Consider the following 24,909-nt stretch of genomic DNA (forward strand, 5'->3'; position numbering starts at 1 on the left):
TAAACTCTCAAGAGAACTTTCATTTTAAGGCAAGGATTTGTTTTCTTTTAGAACTCAAGATCACCAGAAAGGCAGCTATATTTGTGCCATTATCCACCGCTTATAGCTTGTATGAATGATTTTATACAAGCTATAAAATCACTAAAAATTTTTGTTTTTGTTCTCTTTGTCCCTCTTTTTTTTTTTTTTTCTACAGCAAGTTATTTAACACTTTTAGATTTCCCCTTCCTTTACATTAAAATAACCTTGGTTGTACAGATGGGGCAATCATCCTTGTTCCTTCTCCTGTAAAATGACCTTGGTTTGGTGCTTCACAGAGGAATTTGGAGCACAGGATGTAACAAAGGGCCACTAGAGCTGAGCTAAAACGTCAGTGTTCCAAAGACATACAGAGTATTCTTTAAGGGAATATATATATTGGCATTTCAGTCAAACTAACTGCATATGATGTTTAAGTTAATTTTTAAAATACTCGGTTAATCACTGTCTACTCTCAGGCAAATTATGAAACTTTTCTAAGCCTCAGTATCCTAATCTGTAAAAGGAGAAAATTGTAACATGATCTTGAAAGGCCCATTTGATCTACATTGTGAATCTAAATTATAATTAGACTAGAGACTAAAGAAATAGGTCTAGGCCAGGCGCAGTGGCTCACACCTGTACTCCCAGCACTTTGGGAGGCCAAGACAGGAGGATCACCTGAGATCAGGAGTTCAAGACCAGCCTGGGCAACACAGTGAAACCCTGTCTGTACTAAAATTACAAAAAGTAGCCGGGCATGGTGGGGAGTACCTGTAATCCCAGCTATTCAGGAGGCTGAGGCACGAGAATCGCTTGAACCTGGGAGGCGGAGGCTGCAGTGAGCTGAGATTGTGCCATTGCCCTCCAGGCTGGATGATAGAGCGAGACTCCATCTCAAAAAAAAAAAGAAATAGGTCTAAATTGGGATAGAAAGATTCAAGTTATAAACAAGGACTTCCAGGATTTTCAGAAAGAATAATATCAAATGCTGGAATAAGTTTTTAGGTCTTAAAGTAACCTTGCATAGTTCTGCCAGGCTAGATGTGGTTGTTTCTGTTAATAAAAACTGCTAGTTACTGGACTTCAGCTTTGGCTACATAAACACTTACCTCTGCCAGCATGTACGCGGAGAGAAGTGTGATTCCAAGATTATACAAGGTGAGGATACCCCTGAGAGAAAGAGCAGGTCTGTTCTTCATATACTTGTTACCCAGCCATATTGAGAGCAGATACATGACAGTAAGAAAAAAGGTAGGAAGGTAAGAGTCCAACATGAACCACCCTCTGACTCGAGAATCTGAAAAGAAACACATACAGTGAGGATCCTGAGGAATGATGCTCCTGTTTAGTCATCAGTATTGTCACATACATTGCATTTGTACACACCAGCACAACAGGGAACAACTCCATACAACATTAGGTAGGCTGGCCTGGGTTTAGAGTTCAGGGGAAGAGGAAGCCTGTGGGCTGAATCGGTAAAGGTTTCATGGAGCAAACAGGGCTTAGGCTGAACACTGAATGAAAGGGACAAGAAGTAAAGGTGTGAAGTGACAGTTCTTGAATGCCTATTTTGGAACAGTTACTGCATTTATTTACTCTAAATTAATATGAAGTAAGTACTATTATGCAATTTTATGGATGGAAAAAAAAACAGCTCAGAAAGCTTTAGTAACTTTCAAAAGGCTACATCATAGTCGGCAGTACAGTCAGGATTTGAACCAGTCACATCTGCCTCCCAGCCCCATGATACCTTGCAGCTGTCCTCCCATGGAGAAGATCAGAGCAGTCAGAGGAAAGAAGGCATATCGATACTGTATCCTAATTCCTAAAGCCCACACAGCTCCGAATTTGCCTAGTATCAGTAATGGAAGGGGTTTAGAGTTCAGCTGGTTCAGAGAAAGCAATAGGATGACCGTGCAGCAAGCCTGGAGGCTGCAGACAGCAGAGGCAAAGCCTGGGAGCTGTGATTCAGAACTGAGGACCCAGATCTGGCCATGGGACTGGACGTTTACACAGCAGGGAGGCAAGCAGCTGAATACATCAGGGCCCCTTACACTGCAGAGTGAATATTTAAAAGCCTAAATGAAACCCACATGATAGAGCTACAATATAATTAGTAACACCTGAAAATCATTGTAGACACTAAATGATTTGTGTTCTCTATTCTGCTCTTTTTGTTTGTTTAAATAAAGAAAATGATTTGGCCCAGAATTATAAAAATTGCATGCTGCTTTTAACCTCCACAAATGGAGTTGTAGTGAGCTGGTTTCACCAACAGGCAATGGCCTTTTCTTGAATTTTTTGTTTTCTAAGTCCCTTTCTGGTGCATCCTACCCTGTATACCCCAGCCTCTTGTTAAACCACCCGCCCTACAGAGTACCATTTCTACAAGGCAAGTGCCTTCTGAAGCTCTGACTGTCCCATCACTTATTTTATAAATATCTCCCATTGGTGATAGAGATAAAAAGGTTAGAAAGCTCTTCTCAGCATTCATGTGACTAACAGATACCACCTTTCATACAGCAGGCTTGCAATCACCTGTCATAAGTCTGTGCTGTGTGTCACTTCCTAATGTCCATCTCCATATCTGAACCCTACTCATCTTTTAATGCCCAGATAAAGGTCCTGACTTCTGAAGGGAGACATTTCCTACTGTGTTTTCATATTTATAGCTCCTCATATGCATAGCAAGACAATTATTATCATTTTCTAATTCACATATTATTATGGCTATGATACTGTTACTATAACATTTACTGAGCACTTATTCTGTGCCAGGCACTATTCTGAAGGCTTTTACATGTATTAACTTATTTGATTCTCAAAGCAATCCCATTATATAGGTGATAATATCATCCCAGTTTACCCTTAAGAAAAATTGAGCTGTAGAGGCCTAGAAAAGTGAAATGACTTGCACTAAACTGCTACGCTACTTCTTGTTATGGTGTTAGACTGAATTGTGTCCCCCACGAAGATGCCTTCAAGTCCTAACTCCTGGTATCTGTGAATGTGACATTATTTGAAAATAGAGTCTTTGCAGATATAATATAGCTAAGATGAGGTTATACTGGATTAGGGTGGGCCCTAAGCCAATGACTAGTGTCCTTATAAGAAGGAGAGGTCTGAATACAAGGACAAAAGAGAAGACGGCCATGTGAAGAGGGAGGCAGAGATTGGAGTGATGCATCTCCAAGCTAAGGAACACCAGAGATTGCCACCAACCACCAGAAACTACGGGGAGTCATGGTACAGAATCTTCCCTAGAACCTCAGAGGGAACAAGGCTCTGCTGACACCTTGATTTCAGACTGTTGGCCTCCAGAATTGTGAAAGAATACATTTCTGCTATTTAAGCCACCCAGTTTGTGGCACTTTTTATGGCAGCCTAGGAAACAAACACACATGGTTTAGTATTTAATTGATTTCCAGTAGTTTCAGATGTGCTGGCTTTACCTCCCCAACTATAGTACATGCTCCAGGAGACAGCCACTAGGTCTTATATCTCTACTCTGTCTGACTCATACCCACGTAGTGCTGAGTTAAGAGGAAACATTCATTAAATGCATATCCATTGGCACATTGAGTCAAGCACATACTGCAAACTAATATAGCACCTGAGGTTTTTGTTTTCTTTTGTCACAGTGCTGTAAATGTTTGCTACAGTTGTTAAGGATAATCATAGTTGTTTTAGCCAAAAGATAGGAACAAATGCTTGTAATAAACTTTCTTATCTTTGGGACTTGAGAAGTGTTAGCTCTTCCTCTGAGTCAGTATTTGCTCAGAACAATACCCCTTGATGGTACTAACATGGTGTGGGCAAAATCAGAAGAGGCTAGGAGACACCGAGAGGTTTATTCGGTGATGTGCCAGTCAGCATCAGGGTGTGAGACTTTTAGGAAGAAAAAAGGATTCCTGATGGCTTACATGCTAGACACCTTGTCAGTGTGGAGCTCATCTGATTCCACTGTCAACTGTCAATTTTACAATCTCCTTGCTACAAAGGAAAATTCCATAAAATGACCAATGCAGAGTAAACAACTGTAATCCTTTCCTCAATTGATCCCACATCCACATAATTCCAGATCACGCCAATCTTACTGGCAGCAAAGCTCAGTGAACTTGGCGCAGACAAGTTGTTGTTTAACTGTCTAGTCGAAGTGTCAAACAGAAAACCACTGTCACCAACAAATCATACTTCCTCCTGGATCTTGCATGCCTAAGCGAGAGTGCCCCCGGGGCCTGCATGCCTAACTAAGAGAGGGGGCTCCGGGTCCTGCATGCCTAACTAAGGGAGGGGGCTCTGGGTCCTGCATGCCTAAGGGAGGGGTCCCGGGTCCTGCATGCCTAAGGGAGAGGGTCATGCCCTCTACACTGAGCTGTTCTCCTTTCTACCCACTAGAACTGTAAGGGAGAGAACATAGTAAAAGTAGGTTAGAAGATAAAGATATTCTGCCCTGCCTACCCCACAGAGTCATCAGGAGGTTAAATGGAAAAAGCAAAAAAACCTATGTGAAAGGATTTTTTCAAAGCTGTATAGAATCAGTATCATTATATTAAAACTATATAGTCATGCATTTAGAACAGTTAATAGAGCCCATGGAGAAAATGGAGAATGGCCTAAATACTCAAGTGATTGTTTAAAGATCTTGAGAAACAGGAAAACCTCCTCATTCCTTGCTCTCTCACTCCTCCAATAGGGCTGAGGAAATAACTTGTAGAGAACTAAGGACTTTTCACAGTTCTGTGAGCCAATAAGGCTCAAGTAAAATGAAACCTTCTGTCTAGAATTCATTCATTTATTTGGAAAATATACAGTGCTGAATATGTTCCCAGAACTGTAATAAACCCTGGAGATAAATGGTGAGTAAAACAGCCAGGGTTCCTGCCCTTCTGGGAGAAATCGCTGTTGGTAACAATGAAGTATCTGAAGGAAGTAAACAAGGGTTGAAACAGAATGATGAGGGACCACAGCAGACCCCTCTGGATGCCTGAGCCTGCAGATACTCCCAAACCCTGTAGGTACCATGCTTTTTCCTGTACATATACACCTATGGAAAATTTATAAATTAGGCATAGTAAGAGATTATAACAATATACTATAATAAAAGTTATGTGAATGTGGTCATCTCTCTATCTGAAAATATCTTACTGTATTGTGCTCCCCTATTTTTGGACCATGGTTGACCACGGGTAACTGGAACTGCAGAAAGCGAAACTGCTGCTAAGGGGGGACTACTGTACCTTAGAGAGGCAAAGCCCAACTGAAAAGGCAACGTTTAAGCTGACACCTCAAGTGTGACAGGAACTGACTCATCTGGAGGGAGGGGTAGGAGATCCTAGGAAGGAATTCCAGGCTCAGGGAATAGCACGTAAAAGAATTTTACATATTTGCAGAATTAAAAGATGGCTTGAGCAGCTGTATGAAAGCCAGTGAGGACGACGGATACTGACTGAGTTGGAGAGGTTGCTGGGGTTAGACAGCCCAAGGGTGCGCAGTCCATGATAAGAAGTTTGGTTTTTACCTGAGAGCAGTGGGATGACACTGATGAGTTTTAAGCTACAGTGCCATGCAATATGACTTAGGTCTTTAGAATGTCATTCCAGCTGACACTGAATAAATGACTGGAAGGGGCAAGAGTGGAAGAGGGGAGGCCTGTTAGGAGGCCACTGCAGTACAGTAAGCGACTGGTGATGAAGGAAAGATGGAGAGATGTCTAAGCTCATCCTACCTACGGGCCCCGGGCAGAGAAAGCGCACACATCTTTTTTTTTTTTTTTTTTGAGACAGAGTCTCACTCTGTTGCCCAGGATGGAGTGTAGTGGCGCGATCTTGGCTCACTGCAAACTCTGCCTCCTGGGTTCAAGTGATTCTCCTGCCTCAGCCTCCTGAGTAGCTAGGATTACAGGCATAAGCCACTACGCCTGGCTAATTTTTGTAATTTTAGTAGAGACGGGGTTTCACCATGTTGGTCAGGCTGGTCTTGAACTCCTGACCTCATGATCCGCCCACCTCAGCCTCCCAAAGTGCTGGGATTACAGGCATGAGCCTCCACACCCAGCCAGCGCACACATCTTTAAAGGGAATTTATCAAGGCATCTAAGGGCAGAAATGTCACATATAACTAGGATGTAAGAAAGGTGGAAGATGAATGGGCAGTGGAGAGGAAACAAGAAAGCAGCATCCTTTAGAAGGAAAGTTACAACCCGGCTTTGTAGCCAGACAGACACTGGAGGAAAGCATTGCATTTCACTCTATCTCTGCTTCCTGCTCCCAGAACTTCTTTAATCCCAGGAGAGGTTAAGCAGTAGGAGAAATGGGATCTTCTGGACATTCTGGAAGGATATCAAAGTTGAGGAAGTTAAGTTTCTAAATATTAAGTACCTTACTATTTCCAAGACACCAGAAATAACATAATCCCTTTCTATAACTAAATGGTGTTCTTCCTGTGTTCCTTCCACATTAAGTTCTCAAGTAATTCACTGACCTCGCGGTCCAAACATATTGTCCAAAAAAGCATTGATTTCATCATCAAAGGCCTTTAGATGTTCCTAAAAAGAGAAAGAAAAAATGATTTAAGTGTTTTTTTCTTCTTTTTTTGAAACGGTCAAAACAAGCCACTACCAACAACATGTAACTGACAGACTTTCAAAGGGTCCCAGCTTCAAGGACTTTTGACTGCAAAGACTTAAGGAAAGAGGACAGTAAATGCATCCTCACCTTTCACAAGCCTATAAAGATTTGGAAGGAAACAATTCCTCTTATTTCCTTAGGCAAGAGGAGTCCTAGAGAACAGACTTGGTGCATTTAAACATTGAAGGGTTGGCCAGGCGCGGTGTCTCACACCTGTAATCGCAGCACTTTGGGAGGCTGAGGCAGGCGGATCACGAGGTCAGGAGATCGAGACCATCCTGGCTAACATGGTGAAACCCCATCTCTACTAAAAATACAAAAAAAATTAGCCAGGCATGGTGGCAGGCACCTGTAGTCCCAGCTACTCAGGAGGCTGAGGCAGAAGAATGGCGTGAACCCGAGAGGCAGAGCTTGCAGTGAGCCGAGATCACGCCACCTCACACCAGCCTGGGCGACAGAGTGAGACTCTGTCTCAAAAAAAAAAAAGAAAAAAAAACATTGAAGGGTTATTGACCTAAATTCCATTTACCTCTAAAATGCTTATAGGCAAAGCTGTTCCATAAGCAACTTCCCTTGTTACAATAACAGTTGTGGGTAGGCAATAGAGAACATCTGTTTCCACAAAATATATTCATAAATCCAGTTTTAAAATGAAAATTCAGGCTGAACTGTATTTCGTAAAACTGAATCTAAAACTTTAAGTAGGACTGTTTTTCAAGTAAGGAGCATTACAGCTATTTTTTCTATTTATGTTTTGTTTGTTTTCAAACTATTTCTTACACATTAACATCTACTTTATATTACTGTAAATAGTGCCACTTGGGTACACCCGATTAATTATTGTCACTTTCACTGGATTCAGGTGGGAGCCGGAATACTGCCAGCATGGTCTGCTCTCACGCTGCTCAAAATACCCGTTCAGGTATTTCCCAGCTCCGCCACAGAGGTCTACAGCACCTCCTCAAGCAACCAGAGGAGAAGTCAGAACATTACCAGTATTTCCAGGAAGGTGGGGCCAGCGGGTTGGTCCCTGACTGTGTGTGAGCTGAGCATGACAGCCTCGGGAAGTTGATATGGAGCATGCATTAGATTCAGCTCACTCTCAAAAAAAGTTGTAAGTGCCAAAACAGATGATTAATTTGCTGGCATCTGAAAAAGAGGAGCGGCATGTTTGCTGCCTGGCACATATCACTTGGACCTATTCCTTATTTGTGACTCTGATCCTGAGAGAAATTTCAAGGAAACGTATGTCTTCGGGAACTTTAGAAAGCTTGGGAAAGAGGATGAAGATGATGACTAACATTGACTGGCACCTACTATTGCTGGCCAGCATATAAGGAACTTTATCTTCATTATTTCATAATATCTTTATAAAAAATATCTGGGCTAAACCAAGCCTGAAAATTTTTAAACAGTATATTCATCTTTGTTTCCATGTAGGGCATCTCGGGAGGCCCCCGATGTGAGAAAGGTCAGTTACCTGAGATCTCAGTGTGACAGAATATGATCTGTGTTGCTTTAGAATGGGGGCGGCTGACCAGAGGCCTCTCAGTCTTGAGCAAAGAATGTTAATCTCACAAATGTACTCACCATCATAACAAATGCCAATGAAGTCTTTCTTCCATTGCTGCACCCACAAACAAATGTTTAAACTGTTTCAGCTTGTTTGCTAAGGTTCAAAATCCATTTTCCAACATTTGTAGAGCTAAGAAAACGCTAAAGGTCACAAAGCCCGTATTATTTCTATATTGCAAAAATTTAGTCACAGTGGAAGAAGGGCAGAAACAAAAGTAAAACAAGGGAAGATGTGGAGAACAGAAAAGGAAAGAGATGAATAAAAAGAGGCATTCCATTCCTTTATTCATTAATTTATTGATTCATTAACCAATTATTTGAGGATTTTATATACTAGCACTGTTATATGCTGAAAAATAAAGTCAAATGAGATGTGGTCCTTATCGTCACAGAGTTCTTAGTGGAGAGAGAGTAATACACAAATAAATAAAAAAATTGCAGTACCAGTGTCTTAAATATTATAAGAGATGTGCTATAAAGGATAGAGAAACATACTTTAATTTAGATCTCTTAAAAAGTAAAGCCTTCTTGGAAGAGATAATGCTGTGGCTGAATTTTGAAAGACTGGAGACATTTTCCAGATGGAGAAGGAAAGAAAGAACACATCAGAAAGAAAGATTAACATAGATAAAACACATTGAGGCATGACTCCCTTGGGAAATGTTTTTATGGCCAGGGTCTCTAGTGACCTATCTGACAGAGAGAACCACAGCCAATGCTGGGAAAATCAGAAACCTGATAAAAATTCTCTCTTTATTTCTGGGTTACTTAATATAGTTAGTAAGGAAGTAGTCTAAAAAGGCAATGATGAGATGAGGTGATGTCAGGGGAACAAACTGAGGTTTACACTGGAATAGTAAAACATAGCATAAGCACAGAGAGGTCTGCAGTGTTAGTGAACTGGGGTGAGATTAGGAAGGCTAACTGGGCAGAGCTTGGACCACAAAGTCCTAGCTGCACACTAGACTAGATTCTGTATGTAAATGTCAAGTGTGCTGGACAATGTCTGAAGATTAACACCAACTTAGGAGCAGAGAAAAAGCAGCAAACTCCATGCATTTCATTGACACATTTTTGAACAGCATTCGTGTACATAACACTTTGTCATACATATGAAGGAAAAGGAGACAGAGTAGTTGACTGAAAAGTTTATGCACAAATTGGGAAAGTGAGACATAGAAAGTCAAACAGCAAACAACCGAGAGGAGGAGGACACACAGAACTGCCACACGACAGAAGATACAGGCGTGCGGATGCAGGATGGGTTTTTCAAGATGGTTAGAATTGGGTGGATGAGAAGGGAACAGTATAGCCCTTAGACCTGAGCGAGAGGCACTGGCCTGAGCCCCACACTTTCAAGGCCCCCTTCTGGTCATCCTTTGGCCACGTCCCTCCACAAAGCAAAAAAAAAAAAAAAATCCTTTGAGCCAAGGGATCATGCCTCCCTATGGCCACAACTTAGCCTCCCCAGATGACATTTCAAGTTCCCCAGGCCACAGAATTCTCTGCGAAATAACCCTAGATCCACTTCCAGAACAACTCCTTGCCCTTACAAGAAAGTCTGTGTTCAATGACTTGGAATTCAATTTGTGGCTGTGTACAGCAAATATGAGAAGAATGGAAAGACTGGTAGCAGGGAGAGCCTTATTTAACTCTGGACCCCTGATTACTTACCACAGTTGGTAGGAATGTAAAATGGTACAACCACTTTGCAAAACAGTTCAGTAGTTTGGTAAAAACATAAACATACACCTACCATATGATCCAGTTTTCCACCCCCAGGTATCCATCCAAGAGAAAAGAGGAGTTCGAAACCGGTTTGGCCAACATGGTGAAACCTCAGCTCTACTAAATATACAAAAATTGGCCGGGCGTGGTGGTGCACACCTGTATTCTCAGCTACTCAGAAGGCTGAGGCGGGAGAATCACTTGAATGCAGGAGGCGGAGGTTGCAGTGAGCTGAGATCGCACCACTGCACTCCAGCCTGGGCAAAGAAGTGAGACTCTATCAAAAAAACAAACAACAACAACAACAACAAAAACTAAACTAAAACGATAGAGACATATACAGAGTAAAAAGTTAGTCCCTCCCTTTTCCTTCTCCCCATGCCCACTATCCTCCTTGCCTCTCCAGCAGTAGTCACTGTTAACAGTTTGATGTGTGGTCTCTGGCATTTGCCTTATGTGTATACTATATGTACTTGTACATACATGCCTAGGCAAGTAGATTGGAGTTGGTAAACAATTTATTTCTCTAAATCAAATCCCAGAAAGCAGAGTTTGTGTTTATGTTATCTGATTGCACTCTGATTTTCTTTCTTACAGGAAAGCATTCTTTAAGGCTTAGGAAACTATAGGAATTCTTTGAGGCTTTTCTTTTTTTACCTAGTTTATTTAACTTATTTTTATTAGTAATTTGAATAAAGGTTTTCCACCCCCATGCAAAGACTTGAACGCAAATATTCATAGCAATTTTATTTGTAATTGCTAAAAAGCAGAAACTCCCAAATGTCCATCAACAGGTGACAAATTGTGTATAGCCATATAGTAAATACTACTCAGCAATATAAAGGAATGAACAATTGATGTACACACAACATGGATGTATCTCAAAATTATTCTGCATGAAAAAAGCTACACAAAAATTACATACTGTATGTTTCCATTTATATGAAATTCTAGAAAATATAACTTATAGTGACAGAGAGGAGATCAGTGGTTGGCTGGGGACTGCAGAAGAAGAGACCAGAATAGCCTTCAAAAATGAGGGCTAAATAAGGACATATTCATATATGCCCAAGTGAGAGAATCTGTAACCAGCAGAACTGCACTACATAGTATGCTAAAGATGCTCTTCATGCCAAAGGGAAATGACTCCATATGGAAAGTAAAATGTGCAGAAAAGACTCAAGACAACCAAAAATGGATCTATGTAATTGAAGAGCCATATTCTGAGCACCCCAGAGCAAGCCAGCCTCCCCTACCTCATCACACCACTGTTACAGCCAGCAGCACCAGCACCACCTCTAATGCCCCGTCCATCGCCACCACCAGGAATCAGTGTGGCCTAATATCCAGGGATGCCCTGGACCTGTCCCTTCTATTGGCAATAAATACACCACTTGGAGGTAGTAGGGATCCATGTAAGGCAGTCTCACAGGACTGACTTCTTATAGAAATCTGAGAGGGTCTTCTTGGCATGGAATGTGCAGCTCCTAGTGCTGGTAGACTGGCTCACCATGCATGCCTGCCTTCTGTGGGTAGGTGGGAAACAGAAGAGCCAAGAAGGACACACTTCTTGGGCACTTTTTGCCACCCTGATGCTGACTGGGACTTCCACCCATCCCTAACTCTATCAGTTGGAGGTCAGCACAAACCAGGGCATCTCAAATGGGAGGGCATTTCCCAGTTGGCTCTTAAAGGTTTAAGTCTGTGATCACTGCTTTATCCTCAAAACCCTGATGGCCAGATTTTCTTCAGCAAAGGCTGCCTTGCAATCAGAATCACTGCCACCATGATTAAGGGCCATTCTACAGAAGCTGAGGCAGGAAGCAAGGCAGAAATGAACCCCACCATAAAATTCTGCCTGCGCTTTCTCTGGTATCTAAAGGATAGGACTCTTGATTCCATTTTATTCTTTCCTTTCTTTCTTCTCTTCCTTTAATTTCCTTTTCCCCTCTATTTCCTTCTTCCTTCTTCCCCTTCTCCCTTCCTTTTTAAAATTTACGTTTTAGGCATTTTCTGGTTTTTGGTATTTGTCTACCATGGGCATTGTGTTGTATAAAAATCCAGTGATTCAAGATCTTGATGTTTGCCCTGTTTTGTTGATAGTTTTATAGAACATTTTAAAGACACATTCGATGAGAACAGCTATTTTCTACCACCAACTCACTGCTTTTTAAAATTAGCAAAAACCATTAAGATCACAAAACACACAGTTTGAAACATAGCATCCAAAAAGACTTTGTCTTTTCTTTTTTTAACGTACATTTCAGAGTAAACTAAATGTGAAGTATTCAATGACAAGAAGTCAGGAAATGGGATCTGATCAGCTTAGGAATGAATAGATTTCGTACTAACCTAACACAATTCTAACAACTTCCCAGGAACCTCAAGGTCAAGGCTGAGCTGTACAGAACTGAGAGAAGAGGAGGTGTTATCTCCTCTCAGGGGCAAGGGAGACAGACTAGAGTCACACAGTGAGTCCTCTCCATTGTTCCCATGGCTCAGGGTGGCCTTCAAATGTTGAAACCTCTTTTGGTAACTCCTGGGGGGATTATTCCCAGCCAGTCTCTCATGTATTTGAAGAAACTAAATGTGTTCACCTTTGTGAATGAAACTAGGTTTACAGGATGGATAAGAGTGGATACATAAAAATGCATAAAATTATTTGGCTGTCGTGCAGCTGACTTCACACAATATGTATCTGTGCACATTTTACACTGACACCCCTAAACTGCCTTTTCAGGGCCTATCCACTCTCATCCCTACCTCCCAACTACTATTCTCTGGAGGGAGTAATGAGCTAAGTTGGAGGGTGAGGGTAGGCAATGGGTAGAACAATCTTTTATGTATGGGAACTCTAAATTGTTATTATGTATCTTAGTAATATCATAAGGCTGAAACTGTCTACCTTAGGTTCTAAGGAATCTGAGGATCATTTCTAACATCTTAGAAATGAGATGTTAATAAGCTAACCCTCATGGGGAGTAATACTGGTTACTGTTTATTAAACACTTAGTACGTGTCAGGCACCTGATACATACTCTTTATGGTTGTCACAATAACCTTGCAAGTTGGGTATCTTTCCCAATTTACAGATGTGGAAATTGAGACTGCAGACTCAAGAGTGGTGCTATCAGGTGAGACTTGAACTACAATGAATCAGTGTTTTTCAGCCTTCAGACTGAAGGGTTTCAGAGCTTGGATAGCGGAGAATGATCTCTGCGGATCTCAAGCCCCTTTCTTGTGCTGTGGTATCTCAGGATACCACAAAGCCAATAGTGGGTGATTTTATTTGCATCCTAGGTAGCCCTGAGGCCACAGGACAGTCCCATTCAATTAAGGTGATAAAAGGACTTTACAAACAGAACTATTGCTGCAGTTTGGTTATGCTCCACTTCCCACACATGGCTCTTGTGTTTTATTCAGAGTCTGGCCAAATGGTAACTCCTTACATATCTCCCCATCATCTCAAGGGCCTAGTTACCAAAGAAGAGGGAAGCATCTGCTTGTGGCATCCTGGCCTGTGCTGCAGTCATTCACCATCGCCTGACCTGCTCTATTTTTTCTTTACAGCACGTATTACCCAGACTTTCACTGGCCTGTTAATTTGTGTATTGGCTGGGTCCTCCACTAAAATCTAAGCTCCAGTTAGCCCCAATTCCAAGAACAATGCCTGGCACATAATGGGCACTTAATATTTATTGAATGAATTAATCAAATACTCATTCATCTGAACTTTTACAATACTCACGATATCCATTTCATATACTTCGCATTCCTAGTTATATTTTCATACACATGATCTGGTTTTCAGTGTGTTTTGAAAGAGCCTTAACATTCTTAACTCCCAGTTAATTCTCAGGGTCAACTGGATCCAATTTTATTTTTTAAATTTCTTTTTGGAAGTTTTCTTCCAAAGAACACAGAAAAAAAATTGCCTATATATTTTTAAAGTAGAATCAAATTTATTCTCTCTTGCAATTAACATGAATAGAATGAACCCTTTTATAAGTCTATGATACATTACGGGATCTTAGTGATCTTATTTTTTTCTATAACTTAAAACATTTTTCTATTTAGTCATCCTAGGAATTATCACTACTTATCAATAATTCCAACCTATACTAAAAAATGTGAAAAGGTAAGAATACTGGTATTGCCTAGAAGGACAATGCAAGAGTCAAATAAGCCACCACGATTGCCTCATCTTCTACTTTTCTCATTTCTTTACCAAACTATTGCATCATGCTTCAAGAAGATACACAAGAAGTATGGAGACACCATCTTTATGGACTTTTTAAAGCTTTCATTGAACACAGTTGAGGGTTCAGAATTTTTCAGGTTCTTAAACTTTAATGTTCGTAAGTCACCTGGGGATCTTGTTAACTTACAGGTTCTCATTCAATTGGTCTAGATGAGCTTTGAGTTTGCATTTCTAACAAGCTCCCAGGTGATACTGAAGCTGCTGGGCTAAAGGTCACATTTTGAGTAGCAACAATGAGACCATGCACAGGCTATTGAAATTGGTTTAGATTATAATTAAAGGATTGATTTTTTGATGTGTTTCTATTACAAAAATACCAAGTCCTTGCTTACTTTCTAAAAATCAACCAAGTATTTCATTATCTAGCTATCTGATGAAATTCAAACTTGTTTATACTTATTATATAACCATTAATTTCAAAGCATTTAGTAATTAGTGGGCTATACAAACCCACTTAGATAGTATCCATATTGCTCCAAACAGAAATAAAATCTCTGGGCTACTTGTGTTTTACCTTATATTTCCTGTACCTGAATATAGTATTCTGAAAGTGGCCTGCTTAGGGAAGGGTACAAAGAGGTTTGTGCCTTCTTGATCAGGATAGTATACTTCTATTACAGTTATCATAAGATTGCATTCAGACACTACATCAGCTAGTCCTTGCCAACAAACATCACCAGGTTATTTTCAAGTTAACTACTGCTGAAATCAAGTCTTACATCCTAAACTTCTATAACACATTTTAAAATTTTAAATGCAATTTAAAATTTTTATCCCTATTGAATATTTCTTCATTTCAGCCTCACCATCACATGCTGACAAGATTAGTCCAAATTCCTAAATATAGACATTTTTTCCCTCCAGGTTTAGTATATTTTAAAATTTTGGCACCTTTATTCAGATTACTAATAAAAATAAGTTAAATAAACTAGGTAAAAAAAGAAAAGCCTCAAAGAATTCCTATAGTTTCCTAAGCCTTAAAGAATGCTTTCCTGTAAGAAAGAAAATCAGAGTGCAATCAGATAACATAAAGCACAAACTCTGCTTTCTGGGATTTGATTTAGAGAAATAAATTGTTTACCAACTCCAATCTACTTGCCTAGGCATGTATGTACAAGTACATATAGTATACACATAAGGCAAATGCCAGAGACCACACATCAAACTGTTAACAGTGACTACTGCTGGAGAGGCAAGGAGGATAGTGGGCATGGGGAGAAGGAAAAGGGAGGGACTAACTTTTTACTCTGTATATGTCTCTATCGTTTTAGTTTAGTTTTTGTTGTTGTTGTTGTTGTTTGTTTTTTTGATAGAGTCTCACTTCTTTGCCCAGGCTGGAGTGCAGTGGTGCGATCTCAGCTCACTGCAACCTCCGCCTCCTGCATTCAAGTGATTCTCCCGCCTCAGCCTTCTGAGTAGCTGAGAATACAGGTGTGCACCACCACGCCCGGCCAATTTTTGTATATTTAGTAGAGCTGAGGTTTCACCATGTTGGCCAAGCCGGTTTCGAACTCCTGACCTCAGGTGATCCACCTGCCTTGGCCTCCCAAAGTGCTGGGATTACAGGCGTGAGCCACCAGGCCTGGCTTGTATCATTTTACTTTTTAACAATAAGTCATTATCAATATATTAATTGTATAATTAAAATACTACAACTAAAAACTAAAGAAAAAACTGTTAGCAAAATGACTTATAGAGGAAAGTTGTACAAGTTCCTCCTTAAGTCTTAAAAAAAAAATCAGTTTCCAATGGGTTGGTTTCTTCCTATCCACTTGAAATAAAAGGTGAGAGAAATGAGATGATATCATGATATAAAATGACTAAAAAGTATGACCCTGTTTGAGAAATTCTTGACTAAGTGAAAAGTAACTTAAATTTTCATCAAATACTTATTATTTTATATTGATACAAAGATTAGCGATAAGAGTAATCAACCCAACTTTCTGTAGTAATTGGCAATAAGCGTTTGGATAAATCTTGAAGTTCACATTACATATGCTAAGCTACCAGAATCCGACTATCTTCAAAACATCAGTAAAGCCAGTCACTGTCTAATATTTCCATATGGGTCTTTCCCAGATGCTCAGGGAAGGGGTACAAGAGGGTCCTTTAGCTCTTTAGTTACTCCATTCTGCTTTATCTGCTAACATACCTCAGAGGAATAAGATGACTCCAACCCCACAGTAAGAGAAGGATTTTATTCAACCCAAACAAAACCATGAGGGGCTTCCCTCAGTGGATGTGCAGTAGTCTGTCCTAAGTGCTGGTCAGATTGCCATGTGTTAACAGTAAAACAGCATTTTTCCCCCTAATAGGTTAAATTTTTACAAAAACCAAAGCTCTAAAGCAAGCATGGTCCAGTGACAAACTCATTATTTTTATCATTACAAGTGTGGTTACTGTCACTATTATCAATGTTTAAATATGATGGAACTAACACAGTACAGAGCTCAGTGGAAGGAAAAGTCCATCTCAGTGAACTGTGCTATAGTAGTTTGGATGTATACACTATGCATCTTAACCTCAATTCCTTGGTATCCAGCTGTATGTTACAAGAGGAACTAGCATTCTTATCTGACTTAAAATCTGAAAAACTTTAAAAAATTAAACAATTGCTATTAAGTCCTTTGGCAGACTGGGCCAGAATGTGATGACCTCCACCCACTTTGCTAAGTCTCTGCTCCTTCCAAATCCTCAGATGTCCTCTTTGTTCCAGGCATATCTAATTACTTGGAGTTCCTCCAACACATCCTGTTCTCTCCGCATGTGCCACTGCATGTGTTCTTCCCTCTGCCTGGATATGCCTCCTAACTCTGTTGGTTTTCCCTGGCCCCCCTTGTTCTCCCAAACTAGTCAAGATCTTCTTTACCTGGCACACATTTGAGCTCTCAATAAGCATTTGTGAAAAGCGTCTTTTATTGAACAAGTAACAGAATCACACCAGGAATGGGGCTAGAAAATCTCAAGGGTCCACTTTTGACCTCTTTTTCCTTTGACAACACTCTTCTTCAGGTTCAGAGGGGTGTCAGAATTGTATGTGTATTAATATATATTTGGCAAGTAAAGAGTGTAGGAGAGTAGGAAGAGAGAACAGAGACAAGGAGAAAGCTTTGGGAAAGTATCACTATTTTAAAGCAGAGAGATATTGAGGCAGCAGTAATACTAAAAATATACACACCATGACTCAGGAGAAACCAACTAGTAAAACCGAAAACCTTTTTATTTTAGACTTTTAAGAGGTAAATACCAAGGTTTAAAAATTATTAATATCATTAATATCTTTTAAACAGCAGTTTTCTAGTGTGTTATAGGGCTTGTGTGCATTCGTTCATCTGTTTCATCTGCACACGGTGGCTGGTGCTGCTGGCTCACCTTTTGGCTTCAGAATCCTCTGCAAACTGGCAGGACAGTCCCCTTTGTGCGAGAACCTGAGCTACGCTTGAGAGGGAGCTCATCCTAAGGAGGTGCGTTGGTGGAGTGTCAGATGCTGACAGGGCTGCCTCAGTAACAAAGCACTAACTGAACATGAGAGGAGTAAAGTAATGTTAAGTGTAATAGGGGGTCTGTCGCTTGGGATTCTTCATGGCTCCATTCCCCAGGGGTCCCAGGGAGAGAGAGGCCGTGATGAAAAAGAATAGGATGTACTCATATAAGACACTGGGGGTGCCCTTGCAGTGCTTGTGATCTCTCTACCAGAACAGAAAAGAGGAGAAAGGTATTCTCCTCAACGTTTCCACAGAATGCTGCGTGGAGTGTGTTACCTGCAAGCCTCCTGTGTCAGAAGTTGTGTCCAGCTAGACAAGAATCGGTGTCCAGCAGAGTCTGGGACACCTGGTATGAACGGCAGTGAGCACTGCCAAGTACTGCGCTCAGCAGGCAGCCGGCACTCCACACATGCAGGGCTGGGTGGTCAGTGGATATGGGGGTCTTACCCAGCAGAGAGGGGCCTGAGCAAGAGAAGAGGACTACCCCACAGATGGCGTGAAAAAGACAGACCAGAATCACTCACAATCAATCCCGGGAGAACTCTTGAAAAAACTCTCTGGGTATGGGTATGTGTGTACGTCAATGGTGAAGAACAGGTACAGGGAATTTGTGAGGAGCTGGGGAAAGAACTGGTGAAACATAAATTATATACACACAAAAAATTTTGAGTTTGCCACTCAGCTGTGTATCACTGGTGCACAGAATGGTGCTTGGTTATCAGATATAACTTTATCTTATTGGTTAAGCTTCTGAAATAGATTTTAAACATTTAAAATATATTCACGAAGCTTAAATGACTTGTGAATTAATTCACTGGTTACACAGAAATGTACCAAGTTTAAGGAAACTCACTTTACTAAATAATGACTATCATAAATAGTCTCTTCTTAATAATGACTATAATAGTTTCTTTCCAGTCATTTTTCAAGTTATGGCCTTCTCTCCAAGAGTATGGAAATAAAATCCAAACACATACTTGTAACATTCTGATCTCATTAGAATATATAAAATAACTTGCTTTAATTTCAAGTGAATAAAATGAAATCTGCCAAAGCTTCAATTTCATAATTAGAAATAAAATTATTCAGTGATTCAATGCTGAATATGTCTGAAACAGAAAAGAAAACAATGCTGCTAAGTTTGCAGTTCAAGATATTTGTAATGATTATTACAACTACTTCTTCCACAGGAAGTGGTGAGTGAATATAAAACTCCTTGGAGATTTCATCCAAAGCCAGATATCTGTATTCAGGACACCTTGGAACTGTACCAGTTTCTGGATTTGGGAACATGGGGAAGAATAAAACTCTTTCACAATTAAGAGCAGCAATGAAAGGAGATTCTGTCTGTGTGTGCTCTGGTTATCAAGTACTGACCAGAGGGGAAGCAGGTTGGCTATTCTGCATGTACAAGTGGTATCCTTTTGAATATGAAAACAAAGGAAAGCTTTTAATGACTTCTTGGAAAAAATATGGGCCAAATTTTATTTCTAACTTTTTAGGCAACAATCACATCTAAATTATTTCTATGTATTTCTATATATTTTGAAAATAGCTACAGTATTTTGATATATTTATGGTAATCAAAAGGATTATTATTTTACTGTTAATACTGAGCAAGAGACAATCTGTGAGTCATCCGGACAGACTATTTTATATTTTCCTTCTTTTAAGCTATAAAACCAACCAATATGGGGATTTATTGAGCAATTCGGGTTCCATGCCTGCTGAATGAAATCTTCAGCACGCGCTGTTTTGTTTGGCAGGACATTACCATCAAAGTGACGGTGAGCTGCCCTTGACTGCATCCTCTTTTCTAGGAGGTAAAGGAAAATCATACCTCTCCCTCAGCATTTAAATCTGAATAATGTCAAATCAAATTGAGTACCATTAGGAGGAAAATAAATCACTAAAAAGAAAAATGCGGCCTGAGCTACGTGAGCAAAAAAATTGGTGAAACACTATACTTGGCCTCTATGATGGTTAGAGTATTACAAACTAACTTTAGATAATTGAATTTCATGTTAGTTTAAGCATCTTCTAGGATATCCTTGTAATTCACCTTAATTCATTCATCACTGTTCAATCATCAGCCCAACATAGTCTCCAAATATAGAGCTGATGAATAAAGACAGACAACTCTATGGAGGGAGGGAAGAAAGAGGTGAAGAGTATTATCTATTTTACAGATGACGAGAGGCAAAAGACAAAGTTATTTATTACAAGCTATACATCATGTGTGGCTAAGCCAGTGGCTTTGCCAAAATGATTGAGTCAAAATAAAGAAAATTATGTAAATGTAAGCCTCTGGCCCCCATTTTAAAATTGGCATTGTGTCACACACAATCTTCTCTCCAGGTTCTTCTTGGATATTGTTTTGAATCCTGCTAAATGAACACTTTTATGAAATACTACTATCCTTTTTCTTATTGATAAATCATTTATATCCAATGGCCAATAGTACCTTATAATATGAAATGTTCCTTAAGTAAATATAATCATTTTAATATTCCTATTATTAGGTCCCTAGACACCACTATTTTTTGTATTACAGGACAAAACTATGTACATGTATTCTCTAAGTACTTAGTATTACTGAATAAAATCATCTCCAAGGCCCCTTCTAGCTCTCAGTTTTAAAGAGACAATGATAATGAGTCTCTTTATTCTCCCATCATTCCTATTCTTTCCTCTCCTGCTTTCTTCTACATTCTTGAAGCCAGTAGGCAGAGTGCCAATTCATACAAAAAGTAAGAACTGGCTCTATAGTATTGTTGACCAAATATCAGCAATCAGCAAACATGAAATTATTACAGATTCTGAAACAAAAAGTACAAATTTCTCAAAAGTAACCTTAACCTAAATTGGCTTTTTTGGAAAGCAGGTTGGTTAACTGGAGGAAAGGTATGTTGAGTTTGTTCCTAACCTCAACGGACAAATTTGTTTGGATTTCCCATGTATACATTTGAGAGAAACTGTTTCTTTCTGAAACTTTCTTCTGCATCTGTATTTCAGGAAACTCAGAGAGAAGGGATAGATTACCGCCCAACACACAACCTTGGAAACTAAAGATTTCAGTGGCCTTGTTAAACTTCGCAGAATTCGCAGTGTGCAATGGTAGCACAAAGCAATGTTTTTGTAGGGGCAACGGCGTAATCTCATAAATTCTAGCAGCCACTGACCTCTAACACCATTCCTTGAAGAGAAAAATCATATTTCCTCAGTTTTCTTTAAAAGGCTAAGTAATAGCAGATTCAAGCCCTCCCCTCGGGTTCCCACTCTCCATCCACGCTGCCAACCCTGACAGCCAGCCCATTCTTTGCCTATATAAGAATTTTGAAACCACTACTAAAAATAAGAATATAAACAAAATAAACAAGTATGCTAATTTTTTTAGCTTCATATATGGCGCCAATGTCTAAAGTATGTAAAACTGATACAAATTTGGAAATGAACTGGGCAGACAGAACTGAAATCAGTAAAACTGAAATCTGCAGGCTTGTAATACTGAGTGATTTCTGTTTGGTAAATTGAGCTACTTCAGGCATTTCACTCATTCAACAATTTTTTTGTTCAAAAGTCTTCTTTTGAATGCTTTTCTTCAGTGTAACTTCTAGTAGTTTTAAAATGAACAAATGCCTATTTGAAACAATTATAAGTGTATCATAAAAATTAAAACAAAGTTAGAAAAGCACACCCATTCAAAGCCATACAAATACTTTAAGAGATTACCAAATTTTCTTTAAAAAGTTTATGGATCAATGTCTTCCCTTGTCTATTAGATACTACTTGATTTCTATAAAATAAAACGTACAGTAGTTGTTATTTTCATGGTTTTATGACTTTAAAAATATTTTCTCTGCAGAAGTCTTCACCCAGTTTTAGCCTCTCAGCTCTCAAAAATAATTTTTCTTTTTAGATAATGCTTTTTAGAACTGTATCATTATAGAGAATGTTAACTGCTGTAATGAATGCAGCTGTAAAAGATTTATAGTCTTTTTGCTTCCAACCTTTAAAAGAAAAAGGGTCAGTTCGGTAACTCTAATGGGTAGTGGCTCTGGGTAGCGAAGTGGGGTGGTGAGAAACATTCCTGAGTTTCCTAAGCAGATAAGCCATCAAGCTTTCAGGATGGTGAAGTGGAAGCAGCGACTGCAAGAGCCAGTTATGACAGCGTGGCTTCCCCTTTGCTAGTGCTAGCAGCCTGATGAGTGGTTCTAACTGTTCCTCAAAGGGCAGCCAAAATTAGTCTCCAGAGAAGACTTAAAGTATCCTGCTCTGATTCCATAAAAATAAGTGTGTATTGGGTTTAGATGTATTAGAAAAGTTAAAGAAGGAGATGTTAGACTATGAATTTTTTTCATTGTCTTTTAAAGGAGAAAGTCCCGCCAACTCATTTGCATAGCCTTAAAATAGCCATGGTTGAAAATGCAAATGGCTCCTGTAACCAGCAAGTAGTAGTGCCGTTTGGGTCGGGCTGTGCTAGGCTGCCAAGATACAGGTGGGCAGCATGTGGCAGGAAATCCTTTTGTGATCCTTCTGGGCTATAACAGGAGAGGCAAGCAGACTGTTGCACGTTAATCCTGGACATGGGAGTGAAGTGTTGTACTACGGACATCCAGGACAGCCACCAAGAAACTGATTCTTAGAGAGCCTCCTTTGTTTCACTCGACTAACTAGGAGTTGCAGGGAAACTGAAGCTGTTTTTAGCACTTTTGTCATTTGTCTTTTTCCATTTGTCTTTGTCCACACTCTTACCTCGTACTAAAAGGCCTCTCTAGCTTTATATGTATGCAGCATATGGAATAGAATAACAGGATTTATTGCCGTCTGTGGATCATAGCTTGATTTCTTCATATCAACCTTACATAGCTATATGGAGTATTATTTATATCTAATAGATTAACTATCCTTACATAGAGATTTCTTTTAAAATATTTAATTGACAAAAATTGTATTTATTTATGGTGCATATGATGTGAAATATGCATACAGTGTGGAATGGTGAAATCAAGCTAATTAACACATCCATTACCTCACATCCTTATCATTTTTTTGTAGTGAGAACACTTAACTGTAATCACCATGTTTTTCGATATATCTCTTGAACCTCCTGTCTAATGGAAATTTTGTATCCTTTGACCAACAAGAGATTTATATCTTTAGATAAAATAATATTTTAAAAGTTTTGGTGTAAATGCTTCTCACTTCTTAAGCTTACTGTCTATGTTTTATGAAAAATAACTTTAAAAGTATAGTATAAATCAACATCGATTTTTACTATAGAAATTCACTTCCCATCACACAGCATTGTAAAGGCTCAAGAATGAGCTCTGCATGGTCCAGAGTCTTTGTTAGGAACAGAAATGAGCTCAGAAACAAGTGACTTTTTTTAAACCTCAGATGAGTAGGAGCAGCTTATTGGCTCTCGTCATATGGGAGAGTCATGGACTTTTTAACTCTCCACCCAAAGCCGGAAATAATTGGTTTCTACAATAATTCTGATAGAAATTTACCCACCTTACTGGAAAGACTTCTTACTACTCTGTAAGGTAGCACATTCCATTTTAAAAATGTTTCTTGTTTTTAGAAAGTCCTACTTTATTTTGTGCTAAAAATCTTTCCCCATTCAACTGTTACCCATAAATCCTAATTCTTTCCTCTGGAGTTACACAAAACTAGTATTATTTTTCTTCCACACGAGAGCCCTTCAGATATTTGATTAGAGGTATTAATTCACCCCCTGCTTTCACCTTTCTTAGGCAAGCAGCCTAAGATAAGGAAATTCAACTTATCCCGTTCTCCTCTCCCTCCCTCCCTGCCTTTCTCTGCTTTACTATGTGGACTGACCTTTCCTACTTTCCACAAGCACTAACTGAACATCTACTAGGTATTAGGCATTAGACACATGCCCATATAAAGGACATGAGCTCCAGACTCTCACCTTTTTCAGCATTCTTTCTAAATTGATTCCAGTTTGTCAACATTTCTCTTTCAATAGAGCCCTCAGAAGTGAACATTTTCAGAATGTCGTAGAACTATTATCTTTCTTACTCTGAACATCGTATTTCTCTTGGTATACCCAATTCCTTTTGCCTGAGCCTTGCTATTTTCCCCAATGCCATTCCTCCAAATGGGTCTAATTTGGACTTTGGGGGAAAAAAAACCTACACACATGGGTTTCTCTTCTTTTCCATCAAGCAACTGATGACAATAGAGTTCCTCTATAACTATGTATAAGTTGCTTTGGTTATAGGATGTCTTTTCCTCTTTGGAGATTTGGTTTCTAGCTTTAGATCTGGATATAGCATTTTAATGCCATAATAGATTAAGTCATCCTAGAACACTGTTTCCCTCATTTGCTGTGGCTGGGAAGGTAAGCCATTGCTTGACTTACATCCTGTTAATCTGACTCTTTAGTCTGGCCACTGTATAGAGATTCTGCCTTTGACTAGACGCAGGTGTGGACAAACAGGCTGATCTGTGGTTGGGTGGCTTCCGTCCAGAGAAACTGTCTCCATCAGAAGAGGATATTGCCTCCAAGTGGAAGAATGGTTATAGGCTTTTTTACCTATTGATTGGTTTATAAAGAAAAAAATTAAATTATCTCACACTAGCTACCCCACAGCAGCCATGAAAGCTTGCTTTTTATGGTATTTTTTTTTTCACTTTAAAATAATGTATCAAGAATTTTCTAATTGCCAGTTCAGAGTTGCCCCCCATCACTGATTTCTTCATTATAAAAACTACAAATGATAGTAATAATAGTAATATATTTATTATAAAGAACTAGAATGTGTTTATTAGATACCAGCCATTGTACTGGGCACATTATATCCTATTATCTCACTATTACTTCATTTAGTTCTCGAAACTACTCTATAAGGCAGGTATGTTCATCCCCCTTTGACAGATCAGGAAAATGGGACTTAAGAGAGGTAAAGCAACTTGCCTGATTTCATAGAGCTGGTAAATGAGACTGTAGCATCTTCTTGTCACTCATTCATGGGGTGATTATTTTTAATCAGTCCTGAGTATGGTTCAGGGTGGGGCATCACTTAAGGCTATGGTTAAAAGAGGTAGCATGAGCCTGGGCAACACGGCAAAACTTTGTCTCTACAAAAAAAAAAAAAAAAAAAAAAAAGCTGGGAGTGTTAGCACATGCCTGTAGTCCTAGCTACGCAGGAGGCTGAGGCGCAAGAATTACTTGAGC

The 24,909-nt window shown here is 39.5% G+C and overlaps 1 protein-coding gene and 1 pseudogene across 4 annotated transcripts in view; one reads left to right on the forward strand and one right to left on the reverse strand.

Annotated features, from left to right (window-relative positions):
• Positions 1–24,909, reverse strand: part of ELOVL2 (ELOVL fatty acid elongase 2) — a 63,547-nt gene that overhangs the window by 23,483 nt on the left and 15,155 nt on the right. The window contains exons 1-3 of one of the 4 annotated variants that reach the window (XM_011514717.4): positions 8,241–24,815; positions 6,505–6,568; positions 1,131–1,318 (exon numbers count right to left, since the gene is read on the reverse strand). In XM_011514717.4, coding sequence (XP_011513019.1) covers positions 1,131–1,318; positions 6,505–6,568; positions 8,241–8,246 — 258 coding nt within the window. In that variant the 5' untranslated portion in view covers positions 8,247–24,815. Of the gene's footprint in view, positions 1–1,130; positions 1,319–6,504; positions 6,569–7,643; positions 24,816–24,909 lie in introns of those variants that run through there. The other 3 variants (XM_011514716.4, XM_017010985.2, NM_017770.4) reach the window with 3 other exon arrangements.
• Positions 11,205–11,742, forward strand: LOC100421248 (siah E3 ubiquitin protein ligase family member 3 pseudogene; annotated as a pseudogene).

The sequence above is a fragment of the Homo sapiens genome, chromosome 6 (genome assembly GCF_000001405.40).
Source record: "Homo sapiens chromosome 6, GRCh38.p14 Primary Assembly".
Taxonomy (NCBI): Eukaryota; Metazoa; Chordata; class Mammalia; order Primates; family Hominidae; genus Homo; species Homo sapiens.